The sequence below is a fragment of the Homo sapiens genome, chromosome 6, assembly GCF_000001405.40.
Source record: "Homo sapiens chromosome 6, GRCh38.p14 Primary Assembly".
Taxonomy (NCBI): Eukaryota; Metazoa; Chordata; class Mammalia; order Primates; family Hominidae; genus Homo; species Homo sapiens.
The window spans coordinates 31367381-31380100 of record NC_000006.12 but is presented as its reverse complement, the minus strand read 5'-3'; the positions used below and the strand labels follow the sequence as shown (position 1 = coordinate 31380100).

The following is a 12720-nucleotide window of genomic DNA, read 5'->3' as shown; positions in this document are numbered from 1 at the left end:
CGGCCTTGGGTCACTGTCTAAGTGTTAAGTGTTGCCTGTGGCAGGAGGTTGTGGGAATGAGCGGCACCGCCTCACGGAGCTGTCCCTGTGGGAGTGGCCTGCAGGTGTTTGTACCTGTGGCATTTTCACAACTCTTTCCAAGACTCAAGAATGTGCTGTGGGAGGAGAGCAGGTCTGGGTCCTCCCCTGTGTCCCCCATCTACTCATCTGGGTGGCTGTGGGACTGACGTTGTCGGAAATGAGAAACGCTGCCCCTTCACAAGGCACTACCTAGTTTTTCTCTTCTGGAAGGTGGCAGCACAATGCCCAGGTTGAGATGGACACAGGCGTCAGCAACCTCAAGTAAAACATGTGATTCTAATAGAAATACCCGAGCTTTTCAATGTGAATGAACAGGACCTTCCACCCTCTGGCAACTATGTATTTTTCCTTGAGATTTGACAAAAAAAAAAAGAAAGAAAGAAAAAGAAAGAAAGAAACAATAATGGGAAAAAAAAAAGCAGAAGAAGGTGTGGTGGCTGGGGTGTGGGGAGCTGGGACCCTGGCCCTGTGCAGGTGAGTTGCCAGGTGCTTCTGGGGAGGCCACCACCATCCTGGGCTCTGGCAGGTTGAGGCACCACAGAGCCAGCCTTCCTGACGATGCCGTCTGTCCCAGTGGCTCACCGGAAGCCACTGCGCCCAGATTAGTTTTGTGTTGATAGAAATTTTTAAAGTATTATGTTACATAATTTTACGCTTTTTGAGGAGGCAAATAAGTCTTTCTGGCTAAGTTGCTCCTCATGGCAATCTCTCTGATGTGCTTGAAGACGGCCAGATCTGTGGGGTTCCCACCGTCAGTGAATACTTGTGCTTCCCTGCGGGGTCTATTTTCAGGGGTCTTTGCCTGTTGGTTGCCCCTGTGACTGCTGACCTCACGCCCTTTGGTGGAAGCCATGCTCTTCCTTGCTCACTGAGGGTTGGAAAACTGGAAAATTATGGTTGATGAGGATAGACAGTAACATTTGTTCTTTGTGGCACTGTCATCACCCGCACTTGAAGGTGAAGCCATGTTTCAGAAAGTACAAAACGTGGCTCCATCCCTTGGCTGCCAAGTGGCCTAGTGGCAATGTGAGCCCAAGTGGACGACACTGTGACACAGGACAGGGTGGATTCAAGGGCTCCTTCCCAGCTCAGGGATTAACTGCAGGGCTGGGGGTAACCGGGGCTGAGAGGAACCTGGAGACGTGCTGGTGTGTGGCCGGGTGAGAGCCTGGAGACAGCCTCCACCTGTCCTCACAGCACCTGGGGGAGACATACTGAGGAGGGGGCACCTGCCCCTCCACTCTGCCTCACCATTGTCCCCCATCTCACTGGCATCCCTGGTGTCCACCAGGCACTTTTCACGTGTCTCCTCCTTAACCTTCAGAACTCCGTGAGGTCAGTGTTGGGTTTGCATTTCTGGAGTTGAGGGAAGACTTTGAGCCTGGGAGACTCCCTAGGGAGGGGTCCACATTCCATAACTGACGCCACAGTTGAGCCCCAGCAGTTCGGACTTCGGACCCCAGAGTGTTCTGAGCTCTGAGTTGCTCTGGGCTGGCAGTGCCCTGTGCCAGCTGCACTGAGGCAGCCGTGTTCCTGCTGGTCCTACAGGATTCCCCACCTGAAACCAGAAGCAGATCAGGATTTCCCAAATTCTCTCTAGCCCCGATGGGTGACATCTCCACTGTTTTAAGGAGGCAATAATTGCAGCTACTACTTCTGTGGTGGGTGTTGCCATGTTCCAGACATCTTTCTGGGTACTTGGCATATGTAAACACACACATTTACAATGGAAGCTCGTGAAGCACAGAGAGGTTAAGTGACTTGGTCAAGGTCACACAGCAGTAAGTAATGGAGCTGGAATTTGAGCTGAGACAATCTGCTGGCATCATGTCAGATACAGTGAGATGACTGGAGGTGGGAAGAAGCTGGGGTGTGTTGATTACACAGAGTACACATGGCCTCTGTAGTAAGCTGGAGCCTGTGGCCACCCAAAGGTGGATTTGTGCATGAGCCGAGGACAGGTTTCTAATGTGCCAGATGAGGTGAGTAGGAGATGATGCACCTGTGTCTTCACCTTGTCCTCCCGTCTTTGTCATCTCCTGAGGATGGAGCATCTGTCATGTGCACACTGAGTGGCACCGCTCATGCTGGGTGAGTCGCTGCAGCTGCAGGCCCCCAGGGTCCTCGTGAGAGGCAGTCAGCACCTGCAGCTGCTGGGGCTCCACCAGGATGCATTTTGAGGACACCAGCTCTGCACCATCCTTGACCCAGACAGTGGGCCCCATGGGACCACCTCCAGGCAGGGAGCAACTCAGCCCTGCGGTGTCCCGGAGGCCAAAGAACAACTGCTCCTGATGGTTTCAAGACCTCAGCGGGAGGCTGCAGCAGGCCTTGAGTGAGGGAGGATCAGCTCCCAGAGCCTGGGTCCTGCCAGACAACACTCAAACCAGGGGCTGGTAAATAATCCCCAAAAGGACCTGGGGCAACATTTTCAACTTTGCCAACCAGTCTCTATACCAAAGACTTAACTCTGCCCTTGTAGCATGAAGCAGCCTTCCATAGACATCCTGATGGTCTCCCCCAGGCGGGCTGCTCCCAGTCCTAGGGGATCAGAAGTAGGGGCTGAACAGCCACAGCCATACAAAGCACTAGGGTACAGGCCAGGGTGTCTGTGGCAGCGGCTGGGGCTGCAGTTTGTCAGGCAGCATGCAGAGGCATGCTGCTCCCCACAGCTTAGCTTGGCACTAGCAGGAGGAGAGTGCCCCTTAGAAGCCTAGGGGCCACTGGAGCCCGACTCAGTGTGTGCAACTCCCGAATAGGCTTGGTGCCCATAAACCCAGCACCATTCTGGGCTGCTGACCCACCAGTGCATAGTGCACCCCAGCTGAGCCAGCTGTCCTTGGCCCACCAAGCCTCAGACCATGCCCAGCCTAGCTTACTGGGGCATAGGGACACTGGAACAGAATTTTAAGAATGAATGTACTGAATTTGGTGCGGGGGGGGGGGGGGTTTCTTGAATTGTTTCTCTAATCTATTTGGATTTAAAGGCACAAATGACTCTATTTCCATTAGTACAGAGAGTGTGAATACTCAGAATATCACCATTGGATAGACCTAATCAAATACTTATAAGATCTGGGTGACTATGTATTTGAGACCTTAGAAGACTTTGTTAAACTAGCTATTGTAAGGTGATTAGCTAATTTTTGCCAATTGTGCTGGACAAAATGCGGAAAGAAAAAGATGAACTCAGGGCTGCAAACTTCCAGCTCATGAGTCACATAAATCACCTAAAAGTTTCTATGTTTCCTTTGAATGAAATCCTAATCTCCTGTAGCTGCAGGGCTGAAATTTCTGAAAAATAAACGCAGCGTCTCATTCTGTGGGTAGCTAAATTACAACACAAAACAAATCCCAAACTTAAAGAATATCTGTTATTTAAGTGAAGGCATTGATTGGGAATAAATGGGATCCTGAAAATCAGAATGGGGACATCTGGGCAGATCCTAATGAAGCTAAAGACACTGAACTCCTAAATTCCTCTGAGAATTATTTGCCAGTTACATTCAACCACATTTGGCGAAGTTAATCCAGCTTTCCCTAAGGAAAAGGTAATGGTCTTCTCTGAGGGAGTTGCCCTCAAGACCCTGTGATTCCACTCAACATTCACCCCCAACACCCCTCTGTGATTCCAGATGCGTAAATAGCCTTGAGTCCTAGCATGTCCTGAAAGGTGAGGTGGAATATGTCAGTATGACGATTTAGAGAACCAATGTGACAATGTGATGAAAATAATTAAAAATGTTTAAAAGTCTGTGTCCTAATGTTTATCACTTGAGTATTCTATGAATTTTCTAAAATTCCAAACATAGAAGAATCTTTCTATATAAAGATGCTTGTCAAAACATTATTTACAACAAGACGAAATGAAGGCAGACGGATCCAAAAAAAGAAGTTGGGTTACATCTTCTTATCTGAAATGGGATATGGCTTGAAAAAGTGTATAAACTTTATGCAGAGCTTATAACATGGAAAACTACTTGTATAATAATACATTCCAAAAGCAACATCCAAGATAACCCTTAACATATGAATGCAACTTTGTAAAATGACAGCATATATAAAAATACATATATAGAAAATAACAAAATGAAAATCAGCACCACTGCACAAGACAGCTCCAGGGACCACCATTTGCACTGCAGTCTACAAAGGTTCAACAATATAATAGCAGTGATTTTTTAAAGAAAGGTCTAGGTGATGTTTCTAACTGTCTGTGCATCTTAAAGTCTTCTGTGATCAAATAGGGTTTCACTTTTGAATATAAAAACATATATTTTAACATTTAAAATAAAGCATTTGAAGTAAAATAACAATGAAATGAGGCCAGACATGGTGGCATGCACCTGTAGTCCCAGCTACTCAGGAGGCTGAGGCTGGAACATTGCTGGAGCCCTGAAGTTCAAGGACGTAGTCCACTATGATCACAGCTGTGAATAGTCACTGCACCCCAGCCTGGGCAACATAGCAAGACCTTATCTCTATTATAATAATAATAATAATAGTCATAATCTTCTTTCTCCCTCAGGCTAAAGCTACTTTCTCATTTGAACCCAAAGGGCAGAAATGCCTACCGAGTGCTCCACCAGAGAAAAGAAATGAGTTCTTCCTTCACAATCCATGATCCAATTTTTGGTTATAGAGTTCAGCTGAGCAATAAAGGCAACACTAAGAACACCATCAATATATAGATTACTGATTGTCATGTATGTGTTCGTGTATAAATGTGTGTGTCTATATATATGTATATATATAATTACCACTACACCTGAAAGAGGGAGATGGATTCTTCCATTTCATAGATGAAAATCTGAGCCCCTGTGTACTTTGAGGCTTGGTCTGGGTTCACTGAATATTAGCCTTGAGAACTGGGAGACACTAAGCCTCCTGCAGAGCCCATCTAGGCATGAGCCACACCAGTGGAGACTCCTCAACAGCAGGAAGAGCAACTGAGATCCAGGAATGTCCACACTTGTAGAGGGTCCACGTCCAGTGGAATACAACTGAAGGATGGGTGAAGGGTACAGTCTAGCTGCTTCCTTCAGCTGGGGGTGGCAGATGGGTGGGTCAGTCAGCTACCCATGAGGTGTATCATGTTCCTAGGGCTGTCTTTCATTCCTCTGCTGAGAACTCCATTCTGCACAGACAAAAACCATATATTCACTAGTGAGCAGGATCCTTTTTAGAAATGCAAACATAACTTCCCTAACATTAAAGCCAAACATTCTTTCTCCCAGTGAACCATCTTATTTGGATAATCTCCTAACTTCCCCTGAAGTTAGCCCCAGAGTTGCATCTGAGCATTTGGAAGCGAGACAGAAAGTCATTTTGGGGTTTGGACCTGGCTGATCTTGGACCGTGTTCTGAAAGTGTGGGCGGCAAGCCACCCAGGTGCCGAGGCAAGAGACCGAGGACACGAGCTGTTCTAGTATAATAAAATATAAAACAAGAATAGTTGTACCAGATATAGAGCTTAGATATGATTATATATGAATATCATTAATCATTAGTTGGTAGCAATTACTCTTTATTCCAATATTATAATAATCCTCACTCTATAATCATAACCTAAGAAAAACCAGGCCATACAGAGATAGGAGATGAGGGGACATAGTGAGGTGTGACCAGAAGACAAGAGTGAGAGCCTTCTGTTATGCCCAGACAGGGCCACCAGAGGGCTCCTTGGTCTAGCGGTGATGCCAGCGTCTGGGAAGACGCCTGTTGCCAGGCGAACCGTGGTCTAGCGGTAGCGAAAAGTGTCAAGGAACAACACCCACTACTTAGCAGACTTAGAGTTTAGAGAAGACTCTGCTCCTCCACCTCTTGTGGAAGGCCTGACATCAGTCAGGCTTGCCTGCAGCTATCCGGAGGCCTAACCATCTCCCTGTGATGCTGTGCTTCAGTGGTCACGCTCCTAGTCTGCCTTCATGTTCCATCCTGCACACCTGGCTCTGCCTTCTAGATAGCAGTAGAAAATTAGTGAAAGTACTAAAAGTCTCTGATATGCAGAAATAATGGCATAAGCCGTCTTTCTCTTTGTCTCCTCTCTCTCTCTGCCTTGGCTGCCAGGCAGGGAAGGGCCCCCTGTCCAGTGGACACATGATCCATGTGTCCTTACCTATCATTGGAGATGACTCACACTCTTTACCCTGCCCTTTTTGCTTTGTATCCAATAAATAACAGAGCAGCCAGACATTCGGGGCCACTACTGGTCTCCGCGCATTTGTGGTAGTGGTCCCCCGGGCCCAGCTGTCTTTTCTTTTATCTCTTTGTCTTGTGTCTTTATTTCTACACTCTCTCATCACCACACAAAGGGAGAGACCCACTGACCCTGTGGGGCTGGTCCCTGCATGAAAGGAGGCTTTCTACTTGCAGAAGAGCAAGGGTGAGCTCTGAATAAGAGATGAAATCCTGAGGGGAAAAGACAGATGGGCAGATTCCCAAGCAAACTTGGAATATATTTGCCAGCCTCTTTTTAGTTGTGGTAAAATGCACGTAAATACAAAATTTGCCATTGTGACCATTTAAGTGTACAATGCAGTAGCATTTAGTAGGTGCACAACATTATGCAGCCATCATCACTATCAAGTTCCAGAGCATTTTCACCACCCTAGAAGGAAACTCTGTACCCGTTAAGCAGTCACCTTCCACTCTCCCCTGCCACCAGCACCTGGCACCATTAACCCAGTTTCTGTCTCTCTAGATTTTCTTCTTCTGAATATTTTATTAAAATGGAGTCATACAATATATGGCCTTTTGTGACTGGCTTCTTTCATTTGACATGTTTTCAAGGTTCATCCAAGTTGTAGCATGTATCAGTACATTATTCCTTTTGTGGTCAAATAATATTCCATTGCAGAATAGATTACATGTTGTTTATCCGTTCATCGGTTGATGGGCATTTTCTTTTAAATTAAATAGAGAAAACAAAAGAGGAGTTACAAATTACCACCCCCCAAAAAATACTTGCTTTTCTATTTACCTATGAAGTTACTTTTAGCTGTGTACTTCTTTGCTTCATATGACTTCAAGTTGCCATCTAATGTCCTTTTATTTCAGTGTGAAGCACTCCTTTTAGCATTAATTGTAGAATAGGTTTACCAGAGACGAATGCCATCAGCTTTTATTTACCTGTGCATGTCTGAATTTCTCCATTATTTCTCATGGAGAGTTTTGTCAAATATGCAACTGTCAGTTGAGACAGGTTTTTTTTTCTTTCTGAACTTTAAGTTTGTCAGGCCAATGTCTTCTGAACTCCATGGTTTCTGAAGAACACTTGGCAGTTAATCTCATGGAGGATCCTTGTACCCAATGAGTCCCTTCTCTTGTTGTTTTCAAGATGCTCTGTTTGTCTTTGACTTTCGACAGTTTCAATATAATGTCTGTCAGTGTGGACATCTTTGAATTACTGCTACTTTAAATGTTTGAGTGTTTTGGATACCCAGATTCATGTTTTCAAAAAAATTTCAGAAGTTTGGGGTCATTATTTCTTCAAATACTCTTTCTCCCCCCTTCTTCCTTCTCTCTTTTGGGAACTCCCAAAATGCATATACTTGATGTTGTCTCTTAGACCTCTTCTGTTCATTTTTCTTCATACTTTTTCCCTTCTGCTCCTCAAATGGGCAATTTCAATTGGCCTATGTTTGCGTTTACTGATTCTTCATTCTGCAAACTAAAATCTGCTCTTGAAGCCCTCCAGTCAATTTTCCATTTTGCTTCCCGTACATTTCAGCTCCAGATTTCCATTTGCTTCCTTTTCACAATTATTTATTGATTTCTGCTATTTAGTGAAACATAGTCCTCCTGATTTTCTTTAGTTATTTGTCCATGGTTTCCTTTAGCTCTTTGACTATGTTTAAGACAGTTGATTCAAAGTCTTTGTCTAGTAAGTCAGTCCATTGTTCTTCAGGAACAATTTCTTTCTACTGCTTTTCCTGTGAATGAGTCATACTTTCATACATGCATAACCATGTTTTTTGAAGTTGAAAACTAGACATTTTCAATATTATAATGTGGTAACTGTGAAAATTACATTTTCTAAACTATTTTTGTATAGACTGTATTCTTTATTGTATGTGGCCACTGAAGTCTCATAGTTGTAGATGTGTGGTCTTATTTCTGAGTTCTCTATTCTATTCCATTGGTCTATGTGTCTGTTTTTGTACCAGTACCATGCTGTTTTGGTTACTGTAGCCTTGTAGTATAGTTTGAAGTCAAGTAGCATGATGCCTCCAGCTTTGTTCTTTTTGCTTAGGATTGTCTTGGCTATACAAGTTCTTTTTGGTTCTATATGAATTTTATTTTTATTTTTTTTCAATTTAAATAATCAGTAATGTATAACTTTATTCATTAAATATAAAATAATTTGAAAACAATATTTCTTTTGAAAATTTAAGATTGACAAAAAAATCAACTAAAAAGAATAGTGGCTGAAATTGAATAAAATAGCAAGAACTTCAATGATATATTTGTTAAAACATTTTGAAACAATGCTCTCCATAGTCACATTCATCCACTGTTTGCTGGAACATAAATAACTCATTTAATATTACTGAGTCAATTTAGAATGACATCATTAAATGTAGTTTTTTAAATGTTTTAGTTAGTACTAAAAAAAGACAATTCTCTGAATCTGAAATATTTCTTTTTTCAACCCCTACCTTATTATGTAGTAGCTTTTTAAAATTTTAGGCTGACTTGAATAGCATGGCAAATTATCTTAAAACTGGGGAAAACTTTTTCATGTTCAGATTTTAAAAAAAACCTATAATCACTGACATGTCCAATTTCTGATTTTTCAAATAAGATAGATTTCTTGTCTGCAACAATAAACATTTTAAGTAAAGCTATCTTTAGGATTAAATACATTTATTTTTAAATGAAGCATGATTAATTTTCTATAATCCATATTAATGATTCTCAAACTCTTTCTATAGAAGCACCCTTAAAAACAGCAGAGTAAAACATTTTTCTTGAGGACATGAGCTTAATCTCATTAGCTCAAGACAAGCTCCAAATGGCTTGAAAATTTTGAGCTTTATTTTATATATTAATTTTAATTTTACCTTTAATGTCAATCATCTATATGAATTTTAAAATAGTTTCTTCTAATTCTGTGAGAAATGTCAATGGTAGTTCAATGAGAATAGCACTGAATCTATAAATTACTTCGGGCAGTATGACCGTTTTCACAATATTGATTCTTTCTATCCCTGAGCATGGAGTGTTTTTCCATTTGTCTGTGTCCTCTCTGAGTTACTTAAGAAGCGGTTTGTAGTTCTCCTTGAAGAGATCCTTCAATTCCCTTGTGAGCTGTATTCCTAGGCATCTTATTCTGTTTGTAGCAATTGTGAATAGAAGTTTATTCACGATTTGACTCTGCTTGTCTATTGTTGGTGTATAGGAATGCTTATGGCTTCTGCACACTGATTTTGTACCCTGAGACTTAACTGAAGTTGCCTTTCAGCTTAAGAAGCTTTTCAGCCGAAACAATAGGGTTTTCTAGATATAGGATCATGTCACTTGCAAACAAAGACAATTTGACTTCCTCTCTTCCTATTTGAATATCCTTTCTTTCTCTTACCTGATTGTCCTGGCCAGAACTTCCAATACTATGTTGAACAGGAATAGTGAGAGAAGGCATCCTCGCCTTGTGCTGGTGTTAAAGGGGGATGCTTCCAGCTTTTGCCCATTCAGTATGATATTGGTTGTGGGTTTGTCATAGATGACTTTTATTATTTTGAGGTATGTTCCTTCAATACCTAGTTTATTGAGAGTTTAAAAATATGGAATGCTTCATGAATTTGCATGTCACCCTTGTGCAGGGGCCGTGCTGATCTTCTCTGTATCATTCCTATTTTAATATATGTGCTGCCAAAGCGAGTACTGATCACAAGTTCTTAGAAGTGGAGATAACTGAAGAAATGTGGGTGAGATGGAGTGTTGAATTTCATCTGCAGTAATTTCTGCATCTAATAAAATGTCATTATCTCCGTCTTTTATTCTTTAATTAAGTGGTAAAATGCATTACAGATTTGAAGTTTAAATATTCTTGTATTCTGGGGATGAATAACCTGGGCAGGATATTTAATTTATTTATAGCTCATTGGTGGACACAATCTAGTATTATTTTTCTCAGTATTTTTACCTCTAATTGCTTAGAAGTGATTATCTTATCATGCTTTTCTCTTATGTATTCCCTAGCTGGCTTTAGAATCAATGTTATTTATACATAAACAATAATGAGTTTACTGGCTTTCTCTATGTTTCCTCATTCTCTTGAATATTACGTATAAGTTCAGTAACCTTCTTCAAAGTTTTGGTAGAACTTATGTGTAAAACAGTCTGGATATGCCTGAACGGAAAAAAAGTTTTACAACTGTTTTAACTTCTTTACTTGTAGTAAGTTCTCCCCATTGCCATAATCTTGTTCATAGTCTCAAAATTATTTAAACCTCTACTATATCTTTAGTGGCATATTTATCTATCATAATGTTATTTTATTCTTAATTACCACTGCCTGTTTTATTTCTCCGTCAAAAAAACAGCTGCTTTTGGTGGGCTGGGCCCTCAGCAGTGGCAGCTGCCAGCTCAGCCTTGGTGAGTGGCGACGCAATTGCTGTGCCCATGTAGTGTCCATCACAGCCACCATGGCCACTTTGTGCAGGGACTCCATGAGCAAGGCCTGTGTGGCTGAGTGGCATCGTCCATCAAGCCATCTCACCCACCTGGTTACAGGGAGCCCCATCCCCTTAAAGACCCTCTGGTAGGCATCCACACACAACCACTATCGTCACACACTCGGCCTATAGCAAGAGGTCTATGCGTACCTCTCTCCTCTACCTCCCAGTTTTCCAACTCTATTTTCCTCGTTTGTGACTGGCCAGCCAAGCCATGAGCGACTGCCCATGACTCGTTCATTCATGCGCTATTGGACATCATTTCACACCCCCCACCTCCTATGGGTTTGTTTGGGTTTGATCCCTAGTTCCTGGCTCGAGAGCCATTTCCAAAGCTGTTCTGGTGTCAGCTCCCAAACCTACTGCTCTTGTTGTAGATTTTCCTCTTTATATGTATTTGTTTCCTGGAATTAAAAACAATTGCACTAATTTTTTCAATCCAGCATTTCCAAGGATGTGCAGTAGGAGCGATTCTTCTTAGCGTAGATAGAATTGCTTCAAAACATCAGCAAAGTATATTTGAGTGAAGGACAGCATGCGTGGAGAAAGAAGGACAATCCACAAGTGGGCAGTGGAGTTTCACATAGTGAACACTCAGGTAAACAACACCCACATCAAAGTACACCAATCACAGCCTCCCAGAAACATCACTGGATCTTACTCAGTCACAAACCACCCTCCCCAACCCTAGAGTAGCCACTCCTGATTTCTAACACAGATAAGTTCTGCCAGTTCCAGTTGAATGGCATTATACAGTCACCATCATGCTCCTGGGTCTCATCATCCTGCTGTGTGTGGTCATAGCCTATTCACTCCCATGGCTGTCCAATGCTCCACTTTATAAATAGCTCACATTTCTTGTCCCTTTGCTGTTGATAGACAATTGTGTTATATCCAGATTTTACAAATCGTGATGCTATGAATAATATTTTCATATATTTTGGCACACACATACATGCATTTCTATTGGTTGATAACTAAGACTGCTATTGCTGGGTCATAGGTGAGTAGATGCTTGGCTTAGTCTCTCAAAAAGCAAGTTTCTAGTAGTAAACAAACAGTACAGGAGGGTGAATCTCTTACTTAGAAATTATTCAGATAATAAATGAGGAAGGAATGAGAGACTGAGACTATAATAACTCTTTTGCAACCCATCAAGAATTAACAGATTTAACCATTGAACAGCAATGGCGATTAACAACACAATAAAAAAAACTAATGTGAGGTTCTTCCTCTTGATGGAAGAACACAATACAGCACCATCAAACAAATACAAGTGAGAAAGAAATCAAGCCTGAATAGAAGCTAACCTCCATAGCCAATTACCAATTTAGAGGCAATACAGATAATAAAAACACATATTCAAACAATGGCTTGGGGAGCAATCAGCAAAATGCACACTATGGGAAGTTCTACCACACAATATAAATTTCAAGAAAGAATCTATAGAATAAAAGAGAACAAAAGCATATTTCTAAAGGTAAAACTAAATCATAGTTTTGGATGATAAAAATATAAAATAGAACAAAGAAGTTATGATCGTAAAAGTCAGGATGTATTTTTATTTGGGGGAGGAAAGAGTTTATTGCTGAGCTGGGGCAAATGATGGGGCTTCTGGTTTGCTCCGCAAACGTCTATCCTTGGTGGTTAATGGGTGTTTACTTTTTATTAAAGGACACAAATTTTAGACCTTCTTTTTTTCCTTTTGGAGTCCTAGATTTTATTTTATGACACAAAGGCTAATGAAAAAATAATTTATAGAGTATGGTTACTGTTTTGCACGAAGCCCCCTCCCCATCTTCCCTCTGAGCACCCAGGACAACCAGCAGCCCCAGGACCCCCAGAAGGGGTGACCTCACTTCTAGGTGTGCATGCAGCTCACATCACCAGAGGCAATATGCAGGTCTACTCCTGGACTCCTGGAAGAACCTGATAGGACACAGCTGAAGGGAAGCCTTCC

The 12720-nt window shown here is 42.1% G+C and overlaps 2 pseudogenes, besides 1 other annotated feature; both read right to left on the bottom strand.

Annotated features, from left to right (window-relative positions):
* On the bottom strand, positions 2073-2384 carry FGFR3P1 (fibroblast growth factor receptor 3 pseudogene 1; annotated as a pseudogene).
* Positions 2155-2449: a silencer, noted in NCBI's record as "tiled region #11702; HepG2 Repressive DNase matched - State 21:Repr, and K562 Repressive non-DNase unmatched - State 21:Repr". NCBI's record gives its function as "represses a minimal TATA promoter and a strong SV40 promoter by Sharpr-MPRA in HepG2 and K562 cells {active_cell/tissue: HepG2 | K562}" and the evidence as "EXISTENCE:reporter gene assay evidence [ECO:0000049][PMID:27701403]".
* On the bottom strand, positions 9861-9967 carry RNU6-283P (RNA, U6 small nuclear 283, pseudogene; annotated as a pseudogene).